Here is a 27295-nt window from a genome sequence, read left to right as displayed (position 1 = left end):
AAAGTCTATAGTGACAGTCCTCATAATTTTGCTTCAAGGCAAGGAAACTAAAAATTCGAATGAAGTGTCCGGGCACGGTGGCTCATGCCTGTAATCCCAGCACTTTGGGAGGCCGAGGCAGGTGGATCATGAGGTCAGGACTTCAAGACCAGCCTGGCCAAGATGGTGAAACCCTGTCTCTACTAAAAATACAAAAAAAATTAGCCAGGCATGGTGGTGGGCGCCTGTAATCCCAGCTACTCGGGACGCTGAGGCAGAGAATTGCTTGCACCAGGGAGGCGGAGGTTGCAGTAAGCCAAGATCGCGCCACTGCACTCCAGCCTGGGTGACAGAGCGAGACTCCGTCTCAAAAAAAAAATTGAATGAAGCAGAAATTTATTCTTTTAAGCCCATTTAGCTGTTACACACATAGTTATAGCATATTCTCTCTTGAGATAACTTGCTTTTAATTGGAAAACTAATTCATTAAATATCCAAACTCTATATCATTTCTGGAATAAGTGATTTTAGCAATTTTCGATGCTTATTCTAACATGATGCATATATTGAGTATGTACTTTTCTTTAAATGCAGGCATATTTTGGCAATAGTTTTTTAAAGAGCTAATATAATACTGAGGAAAACTTTTTTGAAACTTTCTTGTATATATCTATAAAGAATTATAGATAAGAGATGAATTCTAATTAACATCTGGTGTCATGCCACCCACTGACCATGGGTAAGTGCTCTAGTGGATCTAAAATTAGAAATTTTTAAAAAGTGGCACAAGTTAACTTTTTATAGTTATTTTTCATGGTTATTTGCTTTCTCATCATAGTATTAAGTTAAATAAAGGATTCAGAAAGAGTTGAATACCTTCAAAAACGTATTCCTCAGCAACTAGTTATATCTGAACATGTAGTCAATTTATGAAGAATCTGTCATAGTTATTCCTTAATATTGCAAAGATTCAGTAATTATCACATGGCACCCATCCATCCTGTAGTCTAATTCATCCCAGACCCTTTGCATATCATCAGTGTCAGTGGTTGTAATGGCAGATACAATGTATTTCTTCATTTCTTCAAAGAAGAGGTGGTATAAACAGAAGGTGCATACTTGATGTATTAACTAAATTGAAGAATTAGAAAGAATTCAGTTCTTTCTGAATCACCTTGTACGTTCAGAATCTACATGTATTCTTGTAACTAAAGTTTTATAGAAGTTAAACATCTGTTGTAGAGGAGAGAAATAATGTTTCACTGAGGAGGAACTGACTTTCATGAAATGATCATTAGACAGCATTTTTAATAAAGCAGTTAGGTTTCTTAATTTTAATATCAGTTGACATTTTAAAAATATAGCTCTCTTATTTATTATATTAAAAATATGGCCTGGTGTGGTGGCTTATGCCTGTAATCTCAACACTTTGGGAGGCCAAGGCGGGTGGATCACTTGAGGTCAGGAGTTCATGACCAGCCTGGCCAACATGGTGACACCCCATCTCTACTAAAAATACAAAAATTAGCCAGGCATCGTGGTAGGCGCCTCTAGTCCCAGTTACCTGGGAGGCTGAGGCGGGAGGATTGCTTGAACCCAGGAGGCGGAGGTTGCAGTGAGTCAAGATCACACCACTGCACTACAGCCAGGCTGACAGAGCGAGACTCCATCTCAAAAAAAAACCCAACATATTTATACATACATACATATATATATATATATATATATATATATATATATATATATATAGTACAGTGACAGTACTTATAAATTTGATGTATTTTTAGTTTCCTCAGTGAGAACTAACAAGAAGAAAAAGAGCACACATGCTCGAACTTTTATTGAGGAATGTTTCTTAATTTTGCTCGATCTTTTACTGAGGAATGTTTCTTAATTTTCTAGCACCTAAAACTTCAGATTTCCAAATAATAATTAGACCATTTTGACTTGAATGCTTTAATTTGGGGACATCTGATATTTTTAAAGCTTTTTTATTATTATTTGTTTGTGTGTAGAGATGAAGGTCTCACTATGTTGCCCAGGCTCATCTTGAGTGATCCTCCCACCCTGGCTTTCCAAAGTGCTAGGATTACAGGCATGAGCCATCGCACCCAGCCTCATATATTATTAACTGAAGTCTATCTGGTATTATAATTTTAGTTATTTAATTCATTGAAGTTACAAAAGATTTAAGACCTTATATAACTTTTTCCATATTTGTTTAATTGCAATATAGCACACCTACAGAAGAATGTACAAATCATAAGTTATAGCTTGATGAATAATTATCTAGTTAGCATTACCCATATAACAAGTGTTGGATATTTTTTTACAGGAGACTTTGCAGCAATTGATCATGATGTCGTTGCCAAATGTCTTAATCATTGGCAAAAATCCCTTTTCTGGTAAGTATTAAAATTAAGCTGTGAAAGTAATGTCTAACCTTTGTGTAATACTATGATGTTTATTTTTTACTAAGAGCTTATATACATTAACTCACTAGATTTTTCACAACTGTAGACGTTGGAGGTGATGTTCCATTTTATAGAAAGAGACAAGCTTAGAATATTTGTAAGTTATAGGTAAGACCAGACATAAATTTTACATTAAATTCAGTATTTTTTCTACTATACCAAACAGATACTTTTGTGATGATTTTTAGTGTCTCATTATAGAGAAGTATAGAAGATGATGTAGTTACAAACTTAAAAGAATATTACCTTAGAAAAGAAATGATTTTGAAATAATTTCCAGGTTTCTATTCATATATCTACTATCTACCATTGCCAAAATTGTTTGAATCTTAAGTTTTACTGATTGATATGTTTTATTTATTTATTTATTTATTTAGAGATGCAGTTTCGCTCTTGTTGCCCAGGCTAGAGTGCAATGGCATGATCTTGGCTCACTGCAACCTCAACCTCCTGGGTTCAAGCGATTCTCCTGCCTCAGCCTCCCAAGTAGCTGGAATTATAGGCGTGGTCACCATGCTAATTTCTGTATTTTTAGTAGAGACAGGGTTTTACCATGTTGGCCAGGCCAGTCTCGAACTCCTGACCTCAGGTGATCTGCCCGCCTCGGCCTCCCAAAGTGCTGGGATTAGAGGCATGAGCCACCACGCCCAGTCTGATATGTTTTAATTTATATTAAACTTCTTCTGAATGGAAAGATGAGAGGCAGTTTCTTAGATCATTTAATTTTTTCTTCAAAATGTTCTGCCCTTTATACCACATTTTAAATGTGATATTTTAGAATTGTAATTTTTGAACAGTTGAGGAAATTAGCAGCTACCTAACAGTTTCAACAATGGGCTTATCCTTACAGTCTACATGTTATCCAAATTAGTGTATTTTCTTCAGCCCATACCCCCTCTCAGTCAAAACAAACAAAACCAAAATAAAAACTAAAATCAAGTAGCTATTTTTATAGAGGAAACTATTAATTAGATGTGTGAATTAGCAGCTTAGTTTTTAGAGATACCATGGGATGTTTGATTATATAAATTTAAAAATGAAAAAAATTGCGTGTAGGATGGAATTGTTTCCCATCGTACATACATTTGGTAAGTACCTACCAAGTTACTGGGACCAGGAGTGGAAATAAATGGTCTATGTTCTAGAAGCTCTTATGGTTTGGTGAAGGATACACAGATTATGGGGAAATCATGTAATAATTAGTATGAAGTAAAAATATGTACCAAATGTTCTGGCATATAAAATTTGGAGCCATTAATTATTCTTAAAGTTGACGTATAAGTGAGAGTGGGGGACCATTGATGATTGGATCAGGGAAGACTACACAGAGATGATAAGAGCTGTGCCTAGGATTGTGATTAGCAAGTAGTTCACTAGGGGGATGAGGAGGTTGGGGAAGGAGGACAGACAGAGGGAGTAGTATTAAGGCAGAGGAGTTGTATATATGCATATTTGGGAAGAATGGTGATTAATGGCTCAGCATAGCTAGAAAGTAGGTTGTTTCATGGAGAGTAGAAGGAAATGTCTGATAAGAAGATTTGGACTTTTTCATAGACAGATTGGCCCAGTGGTGAAAATCTGGCCCAAAGAAGTGATTTTTTTCCAGTTGAATATTTTAAGAAAATCTTAGTTGAATGCTGTTGGACAGGGAATATTCTCTCCATTTCTGTTATAGATTGTTAACTTTTACCTGACTTGTTATATACATTTATTTTAACAGCCTCACTGTAACAGACATTTAAGATTCTGGTCTTCATGAACTTGCACAGTGGAAAACCATTTAAATTTTATAAGGAGATGAATCATAAGATCTGTGTTTTAAGTAAGAAAACACTAATAGGCCTAAGAGGAGCCAAACCTATTAGGAGCCATTTTGGCTACCTTTGTGGCATGTCCCTGTATCAACCTGATTTGGCAGGTTCTTGATTTGTCAGGCTGGGGTAGTACAATCATTTATGGAAAAGGAGTAGATTCATAGTTAGCATACTTGTTGCACAGAGCCTTGAAACCTCTTTATCCATTAGCCCTTCAAAATTGATATTCTTCCCCATTTCTTCTGCTGTTACCACCGTGTACATACACAGAGCTGCTATTTTGAATGCTCCACTACATATGCTTAGACTGAATCCTTCACTCAAGTTACTGTGCATAATTACCTCTAGAAGTGATTCTCCAAATATAATAGAGTTGAAAATATAGCAGAATGTTGTCCTTAATAATTGTTTCTATTTTAGAACAAGGCACAGAAGAAGTTAAAAAACTGCTTTTACTTTTATTGGGTTGTGCAGTTCAGGTAAGTTAAAATATTTTTTCATATTTTCATTTTAACAACCTCTTTATATATTTTTATCAGGCTGTAGTTTCTGAAAGACTTAAGGATGGACCATTGGTTTTCAAAGTCCATGTTAGAAAATTTTCAATAACTGTATAACCTCCTAAGGAGATTACATTGAAAAAAACCACTTATTTTATTTCAGAATTTAGTTACATTATCATAGTCATATCATTTAAAATATTTAATTACTCTTTTCCTTATTCTGAGGCTTATAATGACCTTAAATTTTTGAGGTTTTTTCAGAGGTGCCCTTAAAAACCGCTCCCAAAACATCCTTGTGATTTATGTTGTACTCGTGTATGTTTCAGGAGAAGGGAAGGGAGAAGAGAAGGGAAGGGAGGAGGCAGAATTTATTTAAAAGAAAAAAAAGGTAAAAAAGGAGGCAGAATTTATGAAAAGTGTTTTAGGAATCTTGTTTATTATTATATTGCTCTTTGATCAATGACTATAATAATAGCTATGATTTATAGAATACCTACTTTGTGTCAGATATTATCCCTTACATAGATTTTCTCATAATATCTTCTTTCAGGTCAGGAGATTGGGTAGGGTAATATTTAAGTTTTTATCGAAATTGGGACACTTGCGAAAGTCAAAGAAGGTACTGTTAATAATTATAGAGTGGGCTAGGCGTGGTGGCTCATGCCTGTAATCCCAACACTTTGAGAGGCTAAGATGGGAGGATCACTTGAGGCCAGGAGTTTGAGACCAGTTTGGGCACATAATGAAACCCCATTTCTGTTTTAAATACATATAATAATTACAGTGGAATGGCATGTGTAAACTGGGACTGTCCCAGGCAAACCAGGATGATTACTCTAAGTTTAAATTTAGGTCATATTGCTAGTAGTCCAAAGAACTGTGAGTCAACTCTGCTCTGACTTCAAAATCTATTATACTATGTTTTTCATTTCAGCCATTTTTTGGATGAATTATTACAGTGTCATTTTAAACTGTCTCACTTCTTTGTGGAATGAGGTTATTTATAAACAAATAATATGATTACTAGTAATTTTTTTACATACATATAACAGAAATTATATGTCCCAGTGTTGGCTTTTAGAGCTGACTGCTTGGGAGCTATAATCTTACATAATATATGTTATTAAAATTTCATGCTGTGTAATGTACAGGTGTTTACTTCACAATTGATTAAATATTAAGTTGAATATGGTCTTCTAATTTGGTCATCAGATTTTGAGTTAGAAACACAACTCGTATTTACAGCCTTTATGTACTATATTTGCTTTAAAAAATACCCTGTGTTGGTGAATGTTGCGTAAATTTAGATTACATAGCAATAGCATAAATATGGTTTTTATTGCTGGTTATTGCTTGGTGGTTATTGCTGATTACTAGAATTCACAGTAGGAATGGAGCAGAACCAAGGACCTTTTTTTGAGACAGGGTCTCACTCTGTCAGGCAGGAGTGCAGTGTCATGATCACGCCTCTCACTGCAGCCTTGACCTCCAGGGTTCAAATGATCTTCCCATTTCAGGCTCCTGAGCAGCTGGAACTACGGGCATGTGCCACCATGCCTGGTTAATTTTTTTTTTTTTTTTTTTAAGAAATGGGGCCTCACTGTGTTGCCCAGGCTGGTTTCAAACTCTTGACCTCAAGTGATCTTCCTGCCTCGGCCTCCCAAAGTACTGGGATTACAGGCATGAGCCACCCTGCCTGGCCCCAAAGGGTAAATTTATCTGAGAATAAAGAAAGACTAATTATATGCAAGTTAATTCTCTTTTTTTTTTTTTTTTTTTTTTTTTTGAGACAGAGTTTCGTTCTTTTTGCCCAGGCTGGAGTGCAATGGTATTATCTTGGCTCACTGCAACCTCTGCCTCCCAGGTTCAGGTGATTATCCTGCCTCAACCTACCAAGTAGCTGGGATGATAGATGTGTGCTACCACACCTGGCTAATTTTTTATTTTTAGTAGAGACAGGGTTTCACCATGTTGGCCAGGCTAGTCTCAAAACCCTGACCTCAGGTGATCTGCCCGCCTCGGCCTTCCAACGTGCTGGGATTACAGGCTTGAGTCATCATGCCCGGCCTAATTTTTTTCATATGAAGAGAGAATAGGTTTTATCAACTGTAGAAAACAAAGCAAAGGCTCAAGGAGACCATCATTCTAACCTATGTTAACATCATTCAAGGTTTTTTAGAAATGAGGAGATGGAAAGGGTGTCAGACCTTGGTTTTTGATATGATATCAGCTTGTCAAGAAACTTAAAGACCCATCTTTATATATATTTTATGTCCATGTAGTCATAGCAGAATTATGCTTTTACTTGAGAGCCCTTAAGACTTGCATCTATTGTGGTGCCAGAATGATGTATCTACCAAGAAAAGAGGAAGGATCCAATTTTGAAAAATGTTATCATTCTGCATTTCAAAAATGTTAGTGACCTAATTTTTTTCTTTTAATGTTTATGGGTGCTATAGTAAAGGACAGGGACAAGGATTTTAGAAAAAAGACGTAAAGCTCAAGGAGTTTGAATTTTAGAGAAGACAAGAGTAAACAGTACGAGTTTGAGGTGATAATTACCGTAATGTAATATACATTGGTGCATTGAAGAAGTATTTTCTTAAGTTTACTGGTAGTATTAGGAAAGCCCTCTGACAAGGTAATATTTGAAATGAGAGCAAAGATGTTGAGAAAACACCCTATTCAAGGAACATGAAGTGTGGTTGGGCCAGGGGTGGTGGTGGGTGGATCATTTGAGGTGAGGCGTTCAAGACCAGTCTGGCTACATGGTAAAACGTTGTCTCTGCCAAAAGAAAAATACAAAAAAATAGCTGGGCATAGTGGCTTGCGCTTGTAGTCCCAGCTACGCAGGAGGCTGAGACAGGAGAACGGTTTGAACCTGGGAGATGGAGGTTGCAGTGAGCTGAGATGGCTCCACTGCACTCTAGCCTGGGCGACAGAGCAAGACTTCATCTCAAAAAAAAAAAAAAAAAAAAGTGTGGTTGAAACGTAGGATTCATGGGGATGAGTGGCAAGGTATTAGACTGGAGAGTTTACATGAATTGAGTTATGAAGGACTGGATTTGCCACTTTAAGATAGAGTTCAGATTTCAGGCCAGACATGGTGGCTCACACCTGTAATCTCAGCACTTGGGAGGCCGGAACAGTGGATCACCTGAGGTCAGGAGTTCCAGACCAGCCTGGCTGACATAGTGAAACCCTGTCTCTACTAAAAATACAAAAATTAGCCGGGTGTGGTAGTGGGCATCTGTAATCCCAGCTACTCGGGAAGTTGAGGCAGGAGAATTGCTGGAACCCAGGAGGCGGAGGTTGCAGTGAGCCAAGATTGTGCCACTGCACTCCAGCCTGGGTGACAGAGCAAGACTCCATCTCAAAAAAAAGAAAAAAATTATTCTGTGGGTGTTTTGGAGCCACTACTACTAATAATATAAAATGTGTGACCAAAATCTGTCAGCCTTCAGCTGTGACCATATAAACAATTAGAAGTCTTTGTTGATACTTAATAGCCAGAATGTGTTTCTGGACAAGAAGCTATTGAGGAAACCAATCAGCCAACAAGTATTGTTGGAATATTTTGTAAAATGTCCTCTCTATTTCAGAAAATTTGTTCATCTTATAGTTGAACAGATTAAAATTCTAATATGTAAATAGCATGTTTTCCCACATCTAGGTCAATCAATTTTATCTGTTATAATTGTTATTTGTAGATAGAAATAGCAAGATACAATTTGCTGATACTAAAGTTTAGGAAATCAGTGGACCACAGGTTTCAAGAGATACTATATTCATGAAAAGAAATAGGGCTGGGTGCAGTGGGTCATGCCTGTAATCTCAGCACTATGGGAGGTTGAGGCAGGAGGATTGCTTGAGGCCAGGAGTTTGAGATCAACCTGGGCAGCATAAGGAAACTCTATTTATACAAAAAAAAATTTTTTTTTAATTAAAGAGGGAGAAAGAGAGAGAGAGGGAGGGGGGAAAGAGAGAGAGAAACAAGCATTGGGAAATTGAAAAATGTTTTCTTCTTTTGAAGAAAAAAAATGAAATTCTTAAGAGGAAGCAGCATTCAAAAACAGTAAAGTTAACCATTATCCAAAGATCTTACCTGACAAAATAAATTATGACTTTTAATCCTTGATTATATGTAAGTAAAAGCCACATAAATAACTTTAAATATGAAGAAAACCATCCAAGGCCAGGGCTTGGGTATTTTTGTTATTGGCTGTCCAACTCAGTCAAGTTCCTCCAGAATCTTTTTCAATGGGCAACCCAAGTCTTCTGAACCAGTTCTGAGCATCACCTAGAATTTTCACACATCTGTGACTCTTCATCCTAGCCCTGAAGTAGTTAGAGAGTCCTAGGTGAAACCATCCTATGCAGAAGAAAAAGTTTTGCAGTGTTTTGTTTGGAAATTTCTTTGTTCTAAGACTATGTGAAATTCATCTCTTTTTAGCAGAACTTAAAACCTACATAATACCTATCAGTGCAGGCTGCTTAGTATCCAGAAATATTACTTATTTTGGACTTTGGCCAGGTTGGGTAGTGCTGAAAGTAACTGAGTGTCAAGTGTGGTTGGAATTAAAATTTTGACCCTTTTATGTACCCTTAGAAGGAATCTACCGTTAGTATTTGATTCTGAAAACCAGTTTTGAACTTGGTTAGTTTGATGGCTACAATCTATTGTTTACTTATCAATGATCTGTAAAGCATCTTAAAGGTTAACATTTTAGAAATAAAACAAGTTTCTGCTTGGTTCAATGATGCGCCTTTAGTCTCAGCTACTTGGGAGGATCACTTGAGGCCAGGAGTTCAAGGCAGCCATATGGTATGATCATGCCTGTGAATAACCACTGTGTTCCAGCCTGGTAACGTAGCAAGACCCAGTCTCTTAAAAAAAAACAAGGAAATAAAACAATTTCTAGCAAGGCATTTGTTTTTCTGAGAATATTTAAAAATACAAATATAGCTCAAAGAGGGAGACTTTTGTTGATACAAGTATTGTTTTCAAATACATAATAGGAAATTTACCATTTTAACAATTTTTTAAGTATATAGTTCAGTGGTATTCTGATTGCTGTACATTCACATTGTTGTGTAACCATTACCACCATCCATCTGAAGAATTTTTCTCATCTTCTGAAGCTAAAACTCTGTACCCATTAAATGATGACTCCCTTTGTTACCAGACCTCGGTAACCACCATTTTACTTTATGTCTCTATGAATTCGATTGTTCTAGGTACCTCATATAAATGGAATCATACAGTATTTGTCCTTTTGATGGGCTTATTTCACTTAGCGTAATGTCTTTAAGGTTTTTTCATGCTATAGCATGTGTCAGTTTCCTTCCTTATTAAGGCTGAATAATATTCCATTATTTATATATGCCAAATTTTGTTCATCCATTCATCATTGATGAACACTTGAGTTGCCTCCATTTTTTGGCCCTTGTAAACAATGTTGCTATGAACATGAGTGTACAAATGTCTGTTTGAATCCCTGCTTATTGCTCTTTGGTAGAACTATGATTTGTTTAGACCTATATTATCGGTTTTCTTATTTAAAACACTATAATGTGTTCCTTGTCTTATTATTTTCTTGTTCAATAGCTTGTTTTGGGTGCCATTTCCTCTATTTTAGTATAGCTTTTCCATATAAACCTGTCTTCTTTCTTTAAGATCATAGAGCAGGTATTGAAAATATGAGGAATTTGAGGAATAAAGTATTAAGGGCTTAAGATCTCTGGTAGAAGATGTACAACTTTAGGGTTTATGCATATCTCTCCCACCCACCTCCCACCCTAATCACTTTTTTTGCTTTTTTCCTATGTCCAAGTTTCCACATCATATCTTGTGTGTGTGTGTGTGTGTGTGTGTGTGTGTGTGTGTGTGTGTATGTGTGTGTGACAGAGTCTTGCTCTGTTGCCTAGGCTGGAGTGTAGTGGCGCAATCTTGGCTCACTACAACCTCCGCCTCCTGGGTTCAAGCAATTCTTCTGCCTTAGCCTCCCAAGTAGCTGGGATTACAGGCGCCTGCCACCATGCCTGGCTAATTTTTTGTATTTTTAATAGAGACAGGGTGTCACCATGTTGGCCAGGCTGGTCTTGAACTCCTGACCTCAGGTGATCCAGCTGCCTCAGCCTCCCAAAGTGTTGGGATTACAGGCTTGAGCCATCACGCCTGGCCTCCATGTCGTATTCTTAGAATATCATGGTAATCTACTGGCTTAGTAATCAGTTACTATAATACAATAGAGTTAAAAAATTAATTTTAGTGCCCATGATAGTTTAAGAACTTTACATAAAGATAAGAGAGCTTAATTTTAATTGGAAAAAACAATTTGCTGATATTATTTAGTCTTCACAGCTGGTATTAAGCTATATATCTGTTTTTAACACCAGACTTTCTCATGCTCTGGAGCTGGCCTATTCAATACAGTAGCCACTAGCCGCATGTGGCTATTTAAATTAAAATTAATTACAATTAAATTAAAATTTCAGTTTCCCAGTTGCACTAGCTACATTTCAGGTACTCAGTAGCTGCATATAGCTAATGATCACCGTATTGGGCAGCTCTCATATAGAAATTTGATCTGATTATTCAGCTTCAAAGTGTGAATATTTTATTCTTTTTTCCATCTTGACAGTCTTTCTCTTTTTTAGCCTTCAAAAGCCTATGAAATTTATTCTGTATCCTTAGGGAAGCCCAACCTGTTTATAAAACATTTTGAGAATGCTTAGCTTCTAAGAGTTAAATTAAGGTGTGAGATTTAGTAGAAATCGTGTGTGTTACAAGAGTAAAGGGAAAATTTTCATTGATTTGTGTTGAGATTGTGCTAAAGGACGAGCTCCTAAAGATAGTACAAGTAAAAAACAAGTGGCTCTGGCTTAGAAAAGGGAAGTATATCTATTTAGTCTAAACTGAAGGCAGAGAAAGATACGGCAGTTGAATTAAGGAACTCTTTGGTGAGTCATAGTCATTACCTTTGATAATAATTATGCTGTTTTGTGTTCTGATAGGTTCAGAAACTGTGTAGGTCAACAATTTTGGTAGTGTTAAATTTTAAAATTGATGTTACTATACCTGAAAAGTTAATTATGTTATATATGCTATGAATTTATGATTAGAACGTAATTCTTAATTGTTCTTACAAGGCCTGTCAAGTATTATTTGCTAGAAAAAAATTCTTGAGTTTAAACCCACTAAGTTTTATTCCATCCACCCAAAACTCTGACTTCCTAATCACAGCTAGGAATTATACATTTCTGGTAATTTAGTTTTAACCATTTTATTATCCTAATAATTCTGTGTTTACAAGATATAGAACTTTCTGCATTGATGGAAGTGTATTTAAATTGTATAGTAGTAGAAAATATAGCATTACAGTTTGATAAAATAAACACGTAAAGCATAAATCAGAGCCTTATAAGTTTCATGATCAAAGAGCTAGTTTGTAATTTTGTGACTATATTGTCCTCACTAGTAGTTCAGTAATTGGCCCAGGAGATGCATCTAAGTTAGACAAGGCAGTGCTGTCTATTTTGTAGGCACTTTGCATTTGTTAGCTGTAAGAATACAGTGATACTAGCAGTTGGTTTGCAGCATTAGAGATGTAGGTGAAGGTGGAGATTAAAATGCATGTTAAATTGTTAATGCTGACTGGAAGGAAAAGATTGTTTTGCATTTTAATATTTTTAATTTATATAAAGCTTTTTAAAAGTTACACAATAAAGAATTACCCCCTTTATTCCATTTGGTTACGTGTGTACTCATGTATATATTTTTTAAGTTTGCCTCTGGTAACTTTGCTCTGTTAGAAACAAATCAAATATTTATTAGATTATGTTATAAATGTTGAACTGGGCCACAAAAGTGGGTTTCTTTTATTAAGCTTGATAGGATGAAGATGTGAGAATGAATTGTAAGCTTGAAGTAAAAATTGCTTAAATTTTTTTTCCAAGAAGAAAGGCTGTGTTGTTTGGTAATAGTCAGGGACTGACTGAGCATTTTGGCTGTATTCCGAATTCTGCCACTGACTCACTGTGTTTTTTGGCAAGTAACTTATCCTCACTGAAACAAGTTCTTGATTCTTTACTTCTCTGTGTGTAAAGTTAGCATAATAATATTGTGCTAACCTCAGATGGGTTGTGTAATGGTTTCCCACTTTAGAACTTTCCAGCATAAAAATAGTATGGATTTTCAGTGCCTTGCTTTTTAAAATAATTATTTCTAAATTGTTGTTTATTAGGTAAGTATGTTGGACAATTTAAATGCAAAACAAAACTCTTACTATACTTTTCAAAATATAGCAAACCTCATAAAGTTTTAGTTATATATAACATTTTAAGGACCATACCCTATAAAGTATGAATAACTATTTTATTCATTTATTTTAGTGTCAGAAAAAAGAGGAATTTATTGAAAGAATTCAAGGTTTAGATTTTGATACAAAAGCAGCGGTTGCCGCACATATTCAAGAGGTAATGACATATATACAATTTTACGTGCTATTTATGAAGCTTGTGGTGTGTTTATTTGTCTATCTCCTAAAATACTTCAAAGTCATAGAATAAGCAAGAACAAATCAACAAATATAGATGGACCCTGCTTTTATACAAATTGTCTTCTCTTTAGAGATAGTTTCTTACACTTGGCACACTGTTAACTACAAATATACTCTTGCCTTTATTCTATAGTGACATAGGCAGAAAGTGTTATTTGAGGAATGAGGTATATGTCTTTGTTAGAATGGATTACAAAGCAGTAAATGGAAACAGCAGAAAGTGGAACACTGCTTGTAATTCAAAACGATAGTGAGGTAAGATGACAAGCTTAGTATTATTCCATTGATTTTCTTTTGAAAGAATAGATGCATAATTTTTATTAAAGATATTACTTGAATTATAAACACATTAATGATTTGTAGCATTCATATAAAAACTTAAGTCTAGGGCATATTGTGCAGTGTCAAATAATTGAAATTAAAATTTGTTAAGATTCATTTTAAAAGCTGCTGTTTCTATGTCTGTCTATTCTTGGGCTTTTAATCTTATAAAGACACTTTAGAATTAGTATGTTAAATTTTACATGTTGATTAGAAAAGGGAAAAGAAAATTTTTTATAGTGAAAATTGGTAGTATTTAAAATATTCTTTGTTCAAAAGACTTTTGTGTTCCATAGGACATCTTTTCTCTTATTTAGCATTTGTAAAGCCCAGATTTCTTATCAGTAACATTATTATCAACAATAAGCATATTAGTACTTTACAAGATGTAGTTTTATAGGTAGTCTCCCATTATAGAGACATACTTGCTTTATGCTAGTTATATGGATTTGTTTTATTCTGAATAAATGCTAAGTATTGCAAGTTACTGAATTTGCCACCATCCTTGGAAGTGTAATTATTTTTGCTGTTTGTTATGAAAGTTAAAGCAAGTTATTAGAATTACACTGAGAAATGGAAGGCACTTATATAACTTTTCCATTCTTTTCAAGATCTTTATATTGGTAATCCTTTCTCCTAAGCTTCTGTGACAGTGTCATCTTCAGAATCTATAAAGACCTAGATATTCAGTAACAACAATGCAATAACATATATCCTACAAGATTAAAAACCTTTTGCTCTTGAATTCAAGTACAATAAATTAGAAGTCTTATCTACAGAATTCAGTTGATTTTGTTAAAGAAGTCATCAGGATATATCAACATTACTTTCCTTTAAGAATGCCTTGAGTTAAATATTAATATTTTATTTTTGTTGACTAGAAAATGAATATTAATTCATTTAAGGTTTATATTTAGTTAAAATAATTTTTATTTGTAGTGTTTTTATCATTTCAAATGTTCTCCTTTTAACATCATATTGGCTTTTCATATTTTATATGGGTTATATAATACTTGGGCTAATATTGTACTATAGTGAAATAGATTTTTAAGTATTAGCCACTTTTTTGGTTGTTTATTTTGGTCACTTTTCTAAAGGTAACTCATAATCAGGAAAATGTGTTTGACCTGCAATGGATGGAAGTGACTGATATGTCGCAGGAGGACATAGAACCACTCTTGAAAAATATGGCATTGCATCTAAAAAGACTTATAGATGAGAGAGATGAACATTCAGAGGTTTGTAAAATTCTTTCAGTATATTGTGAAAGTTTGCTTTCCAAAAAAGAAAATAGTAGCTTTAGGAACTTTTCAGAAACGATACTATTTCTTAGAGACAGGTGATACAGGAGTGTCTTTTTTTGTGTGGAACACAGGAACCTGAAAGGATGTATAAGAACCCCAAATTGCTAGTAAACAGATTGCAGTTAGGTTTTCTCTTCTCCTTTTCTTTTAAATTAGTATTATTCTGATTTTCTTCCTGTGTGTTTTTCAAGTCATCCCCACAGCTTTGGCAACAATACAAAAGTGTGAAACTGAAAATATAGTTGATGTAAGTGGAAAAATCATTGCCGTGAAGCATAAGAATTTGCTTAAGGCTAATTTCGTAGTTTTATTGCCACATGTTGAGGTTGGAAAAGTAAGTTTTAATAAAAGGAGAATAACAGGTGTTCTGAATAAAATGTCCCAAAAAAGATCTCAAATGAGGTGTGATTTTAAAAAGAGAATTATTTTAAGTCCGTTAAAACAGAGCTTTGCTTTTTAAAAAGAGTCACAGTGTACCAAGTTTTCTATCTGCACTGTCTGAAAGCAGTTTATAATTTTAAAGAGTCTAGACTTTAGTGCGTGTGGTGGTGGGTAATATTTTCTTAATAGCAGAGCAAAGTACTCTGCCATTCTGCAGAATATATAGCTTTTATCAGTTTCGTTTACATGTGAGAGACAGTTTTGAGCTTATTTATAGAGAATTTGTATCAATACTCTTGAGACCAATGAAAGACTACATAGAGAAAATTCCTAAAGATTTTTTTCAGAATAAAACTTTCTTGTCTCTCTAGGGGTTAGTCAGTTCTGATGTGAATTTTCAATTTTTCTTCAGGCATTAAACAAAAAGAAAATATACAAAATAAACATTTTTAGAGCAACAATTAAATTTTTTAAAAAGCTAGGACTTTGAGACCAAAGGAAGGAAAGAATAAATTGGAAAACATTCCTACTATGCATCAAATTTATCCTGAGATACTTAGATCATTTCATTTTCAATCAGATTTTTTAACTCTATGCTATCTTTTTTTAGTGTCTTTTTACTGATTTATGCGTTCTCTAGAACATTTATTTATTTGTATTTCAAGTTGTTAAAGATATTACAATAAGGTATCCTCCAGTTTCTGAGGAATTATTCCTAAAAATCTATACTTTGGTTTTATTTTATTATATTTTATTTTACTTTTTAAAGTTTTTTGAGATGGAGTCTGGCTCTGTTGTGCAGGCTGGAGTGCAGTGGTGTGGTCTCGGCTCACTGCAACCCCCGTCTCCCAGGTTCAAGCAATTCTGCCTCAGCCTCCCAAGTAGCTGGGATTACAGGCACGCGCCACCACGCATGGCTAATTTTTGTATTTTCAGTAGAGACAGGGTTTGGCCATGTTGGCCAGGCTGGTCTCTTAACTCCTGACCTCAGGTAATCTTCCCTCCTCGGTCTTCCAAAGTGCTGGGAATACAGGTGTGAGCCACTGCACCCAACCTATGCTTTGGTTTTGTATGACTGATGGGTGCGTATAAAATGTTTGATCTCAGGCTGGACATCTCAAAAAAAAAGTTTGATCCCATTTAAGTGAATTGATTAATATGGGGTGAACAGAATACTTATCATTACATGCCTCTGGTAAACTAAAAGGAATATGAAATACTATATAGAATGATTGTTTGAAAAACCTTTTAAAATGTGTTATCCTGCCAATTAAGCATTTTTGTTGAATTTCTTTTTCAAATAAGGAAGAAAAAGTGGTCATACTCTTCTGTCTCAGATACTTGGGAAACAACTTGCTAGCTGGGAGAGGGTGGAGGAGAGATATCCAGTTATCCGGGAAATTTTTTTCCCTCAATTTGGGCTACCAGTAGACTAACTTGAAAAGGTCATTTAAAAAATTGTGAAAAATGTTAGACAAATGTAAAGGTAGTATGTAAATCTAATTCTATGTCATTCAATTAGATTGAAACAAGTTGTTATTTAGAGTTTCTCTTTAACTTTTTTTGTTTTGATTAGCTTTTGTTATAATTGTTTCACTTCAGTCTAAAAAGTATATATTTGGTCACCCTTTTTAACATTTCTCTTTCGTATTCTTAATGCTATAGAACAAGTATGTCTTCAGTCCTCTCCTTTTACTAAAACCCAAATAGATTTTTAATGAATTTAAGATCTCTTTATTATCACTATTTATTTTATGCACTTTGTGCTACAAGTTTAACACATACTGTTTTATTAAATCTGCATGAAAACCCCATTTTATAGATGAAGATACTTGAGCCCCAAGTAGTTAAGTAACTTGCCAGATCTAACTCCACTGCCCATGGTTAGAAACATAATACTGTAATACCTTTGCCTAAATCCATGATTGTACTGAGCACATCTCTAATTTCTTTTCCTTAATAATGAGTTCTACAAGTAGAATTAATAGGTCACCTGTTTTTGTTGTTAGCATTGATGTATCTTTTTATGTTCATTCTTCAGTATAAATTAAGAAACACCTGGTTTTTGCAAGGTCTTGTGCTTGGGAGCAAAAAACTGACAAACTATTTCAAAAAAGAACCAAAGATTGTTATAGTCTAATAAGGAAGTTATTTTAATAAAATAACTATAATAAAATTTTGAAAGTGATAAGTACAAAAATGATATATATCATTTTTTATATATATTCCTATAGCATATAGTATATATTTCTATATATATTCTTATATATATGCTACAGGAATGGGGGGGCATACGAAATTCGTTATGCTTTAAAAACATTTCCCGTCAGATTATTTTGTTTGTTTTTGAGTCAGACTATTTTGAAAATGTATAGGAAGCCTTGAACTCAAGAAGTTACTGCCATTAGAGAAATGTCAAAATATCTAAATAATCTTTAATGGAAAATACTCTGGGAACTCTTAACTTTTAAAATACCAGGTTTCTTTCTTTCTTTTTAATATTTTGTAATATGTAGTTCATTGACTTCTAGAAGCTCTTGATAGATATCTCCATTTCACCACCTACTAAGTTCAAATGTAGTATCTGTCTTCTGTATTTTCTCCTGTTCTTAATTTTGTGAATTGCTTAATTGAATATTTTTGAGCACCCATTTTTGTGTAAAATACTATGCTAGATAAAATTAGAGATTGAGAGATACAAAGGAGGTGTAAGAAAGATTGTATCTGGTTTATTGAGAAAACTACATTATTTGTAAGTACAAAATATGAGCTAGCATATAATTAAGTGCTAGTTTATTTGTGCATGAGACAAATATTAAATACTATTATCTGTCAGCTTTGTTAGAGTCAGGAGATGTTAGAAAGCAAGATTAAAGATAATTGAGACAGTAAGAAAATACACAAATAAAAGTTGACTCCAAGTATGTGGAGCCTGGGCTACTATGGAGATTAATAACACTACTCACAGAGAGATAGGGAAGTTGGGATGAGCATGCTGATAGAGGGATAGAACTGAATAGTGTCCTTGGACAGAGGAACCATCCTTCAAAAAGTGCCAAGAAGGGATTGTGATTTTTTTTTTCCCTGGGTTGAAGAAACTTGTATATCTTTGAAGAACATAGAGAAAAAAGCCAATAAGAAGAAAGAAATGGAAATGTTTAAGTAAGGATTATCTATTAGGAGCAAAAAAATGCATAAGAATAAAGGAGTTAATCCCACGTGGTTTTGTTTCTTTGGCAAATTGGAGGAGAGGTCATTTACTGGAAGTAATGATAGCAGTTTGCAGTTGGAGGCTTAAGTAGAGAAAAGGTAACATTTACATAGTCATCATAGGGAAATTTGAAAGGAAATCAGCAAGATTTCAATAAAAGGATAGATGGGCAGTAGAGAGAGTTTGATTGAAAATGGATAGCAAGATCTGTAGTAGGACTGTGTAACTTCTTGTTTTTCTGTTAGAGCTTTATCATCTTGGAGCAAAAATAGAGAAAACTGATGGTGGACCAGGAGGATAACAGCGATAGAGTCAAACTTGAATTTGAATCTCTGCTATCCATATCATTGGTTGGGTGACTTTGGTTAAGTTATTTAATCCATATGAGCCTAAGTTTTATCATGTCTAAAACTGGCATAATACCTCTATTGCAAATTATAGTATTGGATGAGATCATGTTGGAAAATCCCTCACAAGTTCTATAAATGTTAATTCCTTTTTCTTTTTCTTCAAAGAGTGAGTCAGTAACAGCACAGTAAGGATGACATTTAAGGGCTTAATTATAATTCCAGGCTGAGTAGGAACTCTAAAGTAGCCAGGAATAATCTCTTGGACTGAGTAAAAGCGGGGAGGAGTTGAGTGATTAAAGGTTCAGGAGTAGATATGGTGACATAGGAAAATGATAGTAAAGGAGGCGTGCTACAATAGAAGAATTGCTTTGTTTGCTGGAGAAAACTGTATGTATTGAATAAGGAGTGGACATGAAATTAGTAGGGAGAAAAATGGGAGGTAACATTCTGAGGTTCATCAACAGACATACTGGAATCGGAAAGCAATAGTTACTGGCAGGAAGGTAAGACAGACCTTGATACAGGTGCTGAAATGTATTGTGAGGATAAAGAAATGAATTCTGGTAGATGTTGAAAAAAGAAAAAGTAATGATTCAGGGAAGGCAGATAAGACTTGGCGATGAGAAATAAAGCAAGGATGCTTATTTCATGATCCCAAGGTGGTAAACCCCACCCATTCTTTCTAGAATAGTAGTACAGCTGAAATTGCTATGTAAGACAGTTTATTTGCCTGAGAAGTTTGAAAGAAAAACCTGAGAAATTGGTTTAGAGTAAGAGAATTTACAGATAACAAAAGGAAAATTAGGGGAATGGAGGAATAGGTACCTATAGCCCTTAAAGTTTAGACTTAGGAAAATGAAAGGGAGGTTTGTGTCCCATGGAGGGGAAAGAAAGAGAGAGAGGAGAGAGAGGAGGGAGAGAGGGAGAGAGAGATAGAGAGGGAAGGAGGGAGGGAGGAAGGAAGGAAAGAAGGAAGGAAGGAAGGAAGGAATTTTTGAGATGGGAAGCAGAAGGAAGGAAGGAATCTATCTTTGAGATAGGAAGCAGATTGGAACTACTATTAGAGCATAAGATGTGGAGTTAGACTGGCCTGGAGTCATGGTGTATTAGCTAGTTGTGTGATTATGGAGAAATCAATCACTGTGCCTCAGTTACTTACTGCAGAGTAAAGAGATTGAGCTAAACCTTTGAGGTATTGTTAGGACCCTCCAAGAACCGTTGTTCATAATTCAAGAACAGTGCTGTCCAATTCTGCAGTGATGGCAAGATTGTATTCCTGGGCTGTCCAAGATTGTATTTCTGGGCTGTCCCAGTGCATACAGTAATGACTGTGTGCACTTGAAATGTGGCTAGTGTGACTAAGGAACTGAATTTTATTTTATTTTATTTTTTTGAGATGAAGTCTCACTCTGTCACCCAGGCTGGAGTGCAGTGGAGCAATCTTGGCTCATTGTAACCTCCTGCCTCAGCCTCCCGGGTAGCTGAGATTACAGGTGCGCATCACCATGCCCAGCTAATTTTTTGGTATTTTTAGTACATGTGGGATTTCACCATGTTGGTCAGGCTGGTCTTGAACTTCTGACCTCACATGATCTGCCCTCCTCGGCCTCCCTAAGTGCTGGGATTACAGGTGTGAGCCACTGTGCCCGGCCCGGAACTGAATTTTTAACTTAAAAAATTTTTAACTAAATAGCCACCTATGCTACTGGCTGTTACATTGGACAACATAGTTCTGGCCAAATCACTTTTGGGTTTATTTCTTTTCTGTGTCAACAGGTCTTTTATGCCTTTCCAACACTGGCTGTCTAATCTAATCATTTTCATCATAATTGATTTCTTTTGTTAAAAAAACTAGGAAGGGAAAAATAGTAAAGACATGGAATGAACCCAAATGCCCTCAATGATAGATTGGATAAAGAAACTGTGTTACATATAAACCATGGGATACTATGCAGCCATGAAAAGGAATGAGATCATGTCCTTTGCAGGGACATGGATGAAGCTGGAAGCCATTATCCTCAGCAAACTAATGCAGGAAGAGAAAAGCAAACACCACAGGTTCTCACTTATAAGTGGAAGCTGAACAATGAGAATACACGGACACAGGGAGGGGAACAACACTCACTGGAGCCTGTCAGGGGAGGCCAGGTCGGGAAAACATTAGGGAAAAGAGCTAATGCATGCTGGGCTTAATACCTAGGTGATGGGTTTTTAGGTGCAGCAGACTACCATGGCACACATTTACCTATGTAACAAACATGCATACCCTGCACGTGTACCCCAGAACTTTAAAAATAAATAAATAAATAAATAAAAAACTAGGAAGGGAAAAGCATTATTATCTTGTTAAGTGTCATTTGCTAAGTAGCCCATGCATGAACTGTTGAATGAAAGTTAAGAATGACAACTAAATATGATAGTTAAGATGTTTTTGACCAGTGAATTGTTTTTGATATGGCAGTACAATTCTTAGACCTAGTGGATCATGTTGATGTGTTTAGTTTGCTAATATGTAGAATACTGAAAGTGATTCTGTGTGTATTTCTAGACTATCATAGAACTCTCTGAAGAGCGGGATGGTCTCCATTTTCTACCCCATGCCTCTTCATCTGCACAGTCACCCTGTGGTTCTCCAGGCATGAAGCGAACAGAAAGTCGACAACATCTGTCGGTGGAACTGGCAGATGCTAAAGCCAAGATAAGAAGGCTTAGGCAGGAATTGTAAGTTGCTGATTTTTGAGGTTCATTGAATTTATATGGTCCCAAAGGTGACCTAAACAATATTTTTAAGCTTATGGAAATATTGCTAGCTTGTGTCAGTGTTTTCACAAGTAAATGAGAAAAATAAGGAGGTTGGCATAAGGTTTTCCTATTGTTAAATCTTAACAGTTTAAAGGATGCCTTTTATTCTGGATTTATGGCCTTTCTAGCATTCTAGTATGTATTTTTTTAAATAAAATAATGTCCTCATTTGGCAAATTGGGGCTCTTAGTTTTTTGTCTTTACATTCCTTGAAATCCAAATTACTAGGAACTACTGATGGAGATCAATAAGTCTAATAACTCTTTTAAAATTAATGTTTTACACCTATTCTGCCCCCCAAAATTTAATGTTTTAAAAGACTGAGTTCTTCGCATTATACTATTAACAAAAAATAGTTTTGTATATGTATCTTGCATTGAAATGCCTGAGTTACGTACTTAGTAAAGGTAAATACAGTCATGTGCCACATAACGACATTTCAGTTAACAATGGACCACATATATGATGGTGGTCCTGTAACATTACAATGGTGCTGAAAAATCCCTATCATCTAGTAATGCCTTGATGTTCCTGACCCTGTGTAGGCATAGGCTAGTGCGTGTCTTGGTTTTTAACAAAAAAGTTTAAAAGTAAAAAAAGAAAAGAAAAATGCTTATAGAGTAAGGATATAGGCCAGGCGCGGTGGTTCACACCAGTAATCCCAGCACTTTGGGAGGCTGAGGCGGGCGGATTGCCTGAGGTCAGGAGTTCAAGACCGGTCTGGCCAACATGGTGAAACCCCGTCTCTACTAGAAGATACAAAAAAATTATCCGGGCATGGTGGGGTGCGCCTGTAATCCCAGCTACTCGGGAGGCTGAGGCAGGGGAATTGGTTGAATCAGGGAGGTGGAAGTTGCAGTGAGCCGAGATGGTGACACTGCACTCCAGCCTGGGTGACAGAGCGAGACTCTGTCTCAAAAAAAGAAAGAAAAAAAGCATAAGGATATAAAGAAAGAAAATATTTTTGTACAGTTGTACAATGTGTTTATGTTTTAAACTAAACGTTACTAAACATTATTATAAAAGAGTTAAGTTTAAAAATTTTAAAGTTTATTATATTAAAAACATGGCTGGTGCAGTGGCTCATGCCTGTAATCCCAACACTTTGGGAGGCCGAGGCAGGTGGATCACTTGAGGTCAGGAGTTCAAGACCAGCCTGGCCAACATGGTGAAACCCTGTGTCTATTAAAAATACAAAAATTAGCCAGGCGTGGTGGTAGTCCCAGTTACCTGGGAGGCTGAGGCAGGAGAATCGCTTGAACCCAGGAGGTGGAAGTTGCAGTGAGTCAAGATCACACCACTGCACTCCAGCCTGGCTGACAGAGCGAGACTCTGTCTCAAAAAAAAAAAAAAAGTACCATTTTTTATCTTTTATACCTTATTTTTACTGTACCTTTCCTATGTTTAGATATGTTTAAAAACACAAATACTTAACCATTGTGTTACAGTTGCCTACAGTATTCAGTACTGTCACATGCTGTATAAGTTTGAGAAGCAATAGGCTATACCATATAGCCTAGGTATATAGTAGGCTATTACCATCTAGATTTGTGTAAGTACTATATCCTCTGTGATGTTTGCCCAGTGATGAAATCGCCTAACTCGTTAGAGTGTATTCCCATACTTAAACAATGCATGACTGCATTCAGATTTGGTTAGTACTGATGAAATTGTATTTTCTTAATTTTAAGACCATTACAGAAAAGTAAGTGTAAATGTTACATAGGCATTCCTTGGTGAACCACAAGTAAAGATGTGATCAGTCTCTGCTGGAGATTTGTTTTTATTTTGTACTTTTAAAAGAACAAAGGATTTTTGTTGTGGGGGCTTTTTTTTTTTTTTTTTTTTGGTTTGGTTTCTTGGAATTTGAGCTTCAGAATATAGATTTTAAATTTAAAACCACAGTGTAGCAATTAAATTTATTTACTGATTATTTAAAGTAGTTAAAGAAAGTGATTGAATATGCAAGGTAGAAAAAATATTACAGTCCATAGGAAAATTTGAAAATAAAAAATAACAGCTTTCATTTGTGGATGTCTGCATTATTATGTATCTATTGAAATGAACACGCCCAGGATATTCTATAAACAGCTGCACCAGGAAAATTAGGGAAGAGATTGCTGTTATTAGTTTGACTGGCAGTTAATGGATAGTCTAAATAGTGAACACTAGTTTGCTCCATATAATTTAGCACAATCTTCTCCAGTCTTTAGATAAAGCATGCAATTAGAACCGTAATGATGGCTGTGAATTCGTTTAAGGTTTTGCACTGTGTTCAAATTTAATTTTTAAATAAAATTTACTTGGACATAGAGTATATTAAAATTCCAAACAACTTGAGGAGATTGATGAAATTTGGTTTTCTAATACTGATTAGAAAATGTAAATGGATATTTTTAATGGGTAAATAAATGTGCCAGTATTGTAACTAGTATTCCCGGTAACTAGCTTTTCAACAAATACCATCTAATATCTTCATTGCCCTTTGAAAATGTGTTTCTTTATGGATTTCTTCTATTATTAAAAAGAAGTAAATCTCCTATTAGTTCTTTTTATTGGGACAGATCTCTACTAAAGTGAATGAAGTGCAGAAATCATGGTAGACAAAAACAGCAGGTTGCCTTATACCAAATGGAAACTATACAATAAGTAATTACAATCAGAAAGTGCAAATTAACAGCATACTCATTTATGGGGCAGTACATTATGATATAATTGCTTTTGATTTATAAACATATAGAGTAAAAGTATAATTTGTGATATGAGTGAAAAAAGTAATTTTTAAATTTAAAATAGCAATTTCACTTTTATGCAGTAGTTAATACTACCAAAGACTCCCTTTAACTCTGCCTCCATAAATCCCATGTTTTGAAATAATTTTTCTAATATAAACTATTCATTATTTTTCAAAAAAATAAAAGACTTATTGAGATATAATTCGCAGGTCAGAAAATTCATCCTTTTAGAGTGAACAATTCAGTGGTTTTTTTCATAGAGTTTATTCATAGAGTTGTACAGTCATCACACACCAATTTCTTGTTTTTTTGTGTTTTTTTGTGTGTTTTTTTTTTGAGATGGAGTCTCACTCTGTTGCCCAGGCTGGAGTGCAATGGCGTGATCTCGGCTCACTGCAACCTCTGCCTCCTGGGTTCAAGCGATTCTGCCTCAGCCTCCTGAGTAGCTGGGATTACAGGCATGCACCACCACGCCTGGCTAATTTTTGTATTTTTAGTGGAGACAGGGTTTCACTTTGTTAGTTAGGCTGGTCTTGAGCTCCCGACCTTCTGATCCACTGCCTCAGCCTCCCAAAGTGCTGGGATTACAAGAGTGAGCCACTGTGCCCAGCCCACACACCAATTTCATGACATTTTCATCACCACAAAAAGAAACCCCATATTCAGTAACAGTCACTGTCTGTCCCCCTTTGCCCTCAGCTCCTGGCAATCACTAGTCTGCTTTCTGTTTCCATGACTTTGCCTATTCTGGACATTTTATTGTATAAATGGAATCATACAATACGTGCCTTTTGTGACTGGCTTCATTTATTTAGCATAACGTTTTCCAGGTTCATCCATGTTGTAGCATGTATCAATACTTTATTCTTTTTAGAGTTGAGTAATATTCCACTGAATGGATATACCGCATTTTGATTAGCCATTTTTTGGTTGACAGGCATTTGAATTCTTTCCAGTTTTTGGCTATTATGAATAATGCTGCTATGAACATTCAGGTGCATGTTTTTCTGTAGACATCTGTTTTGAATTCTGCATGTTAACAGATGAATGGCCAACATTCAACATTGTGAACATAATTAATGCTGCTGAATTATATGTTTAAAAATGGTTAAAATGAGGCAGGGCATGGTGGCTTACGCCTATAATTCCAGCACTTTGGGAGGCTGAGGCAAGAGGATTGCTTGAGCTCAGGAGTTTGAGACCAGCCTGGGCAACACAGGGAGACCCGTCTCTACAAATAATTTTTAAAAATTAGGGGTGTGGTGGCATGTGCCTGTGGTCCCAGCTACGTGGGAGCTTGAGGCAGGAGGATCACCTGAACCAGGAGGTCAAGGCTGCAGTGAGCTGGGACTGCACCACTACACTCTAGCCTGGGTAACAGAGTCAGACTCTGTCTCAAATGGAGGAAAAAAAAAACCTGAAAAAAATTCTAAATACTTCTGGGTCCCAAGCAGTTCAGAAAAGGGATACTTAATGTGTTTCAAATGCCTTTTAACTTGTAATGCACTTTTAGAAATCTGTCCTAAAAGCCAGGCACAGCAGTGTGCACTTGTAGTCCCAGTTACTTAAGAGGCTGAGGTGGAATTCTTGGGCCTAAGAGTTCAAAGCAAGGCTGGGCAACATAGTGACATCCTCTCTCTTAAAAAAGAAAAGAAAAAGAAAACTATCCTGAAATACACAGGATTTTATGTATAGTAATGAGCTTATTTACTAAAAGATTATATAGTACAATGAAAAATGGAATCCACTTAGTAAAGTATGGTTTCTCTAGCAAAGGGAATATTTTTCTACCATTAAAAATTATGGTTTTGGGCTGGGCACCATGGCTCATGCCGGTAATCCCAGTGCTTTGGGAGGCTGAGGCAGGAAGATTGCTTGAGGCCAGGAGCTCAAGACCACCCTGGACAACAGAGTGAGACCCCGTGTCTACAAAAAATTAGCCAGAAGTGGTGGCACATGCCTATAGTCCCAGCTATTCCGGACGCTGAGGCAGGAGGATCACTTGAGTCCAGGAGTTCAGGGTTGCAGTGAGCTGTGATCATGCCACTGCACTCCAGCTTGGGCGTCAGAGTGAAACCCTGTCTCTTAAAATATATACATACATATATTTTAATAATATATTTTAAATAATATACACATTATATTTTATAATATATATTAATATATAATGGTTTTGAAAAATGTAAGGGCACGAGATGAGAACAATAAGTTCTATACAGTGAACATTTACTTTATTATTAAAGAACAGAAGGTAGAAAAGTAGAGATAGTAAGTGGAGGCTTATTTTAAGGAGCTTGACTGTGAAGGAGAGAGAGAAAATGGGAGATTAGAAGTAAAGCAATTCTAAGAGAAAAACTAATAGAAGAAATTTGAGGATGTTTATAGGCTACAGGGCAGAAACCAATAGCGAAGTAAAGATTTTAGTATCATATGGCAATTGGAAGTATGTAATTTCCTTTCAGCCATTGTAAATGTTGAAAATAGTTGGAGACCCTTACAAATCTTAGACACAGGTAGAACTGCCTTGCATAAAAATTCTTAGCTTAGGCTGGGCACGGTGGCTCACGCCTGTAATCCCAGCACTTTGGGAGGCCAAGGCGGGTGGCATCTGAGGTCAGGAATTTGAGACCAGCCTGAGTAACATGGTGAAACCCCGTCTCTACTAAAAATAAAAAAATTAGCCCGCATAGTGGCCGGCGCCTGTAATCCCAGCTACTGAGGCAGGAGAATTGCTTGAACCTGGGAGGCAGAGGTTGCAGTGAGTCAAGTTTGCGCCATTGCACTCCAGCCTGGGTGACAGAGCCAGACTCCGTCTCAAAAAAAATTCTTAGCTTAACTGTCTGTGACTGCAGAGAGTGAG

The 27295-nt window shown here is 35.8% G+C and overlaps 1 protein-coding gene across 4 annotated transcripts in view; it reads left to right on the top strand.

Annotated features, from left to right (window-relative positions):
* The window catches only part of CCDC88A (coiled-coil domain containing 88A), a 132015-nt gene that overhangs the window by 42659 nt on the left and 62061 nt on the right, over window positions 1-27295 (top strand). For all 4 annotated transcript variants that reach the window (NM_001254943.2, NM_001135597.2, NM_018084.5 and 1 more), the window contains exons 4-8: window positions 2315-2384; window positions 4688-4746; window positions 13165-13248; window positions 14750-14890; window positions 21447-21619. In NM_001254943.2, coding sequence (NP_001241872.1) covers window positions 2315-2384; window positions 4688-4746; window positions 13165-13248; window positions 14750-14890; window positions 21447-21619 — 527 coding nt within the window. The remainder of the gene's footprint in view (window positions 1-2314; window positions 2385-4687; window positions 4747-13164; window positions 13249-14749; window positions 14891-21446; window positions 21620-27295) is intronic.

This window comes from Homo sapiens, chromosome 2 (assembly GCF_000001405.40).
Source record: "Homo sapiens chromosome 2, GRCh38.p14 Primary Assembly".
Classification (NCBI taxonomy): Eukaryota; Metazoa; Chordata; class Mammalia; order Primates; family Hominidae; genus Homo; species Homo sapiens.
The sequence above is the reverse complement of the archived record's forward strand: the minus strand, read 5'-3'. Positions and strand labels throughout refer to the sequence as shown.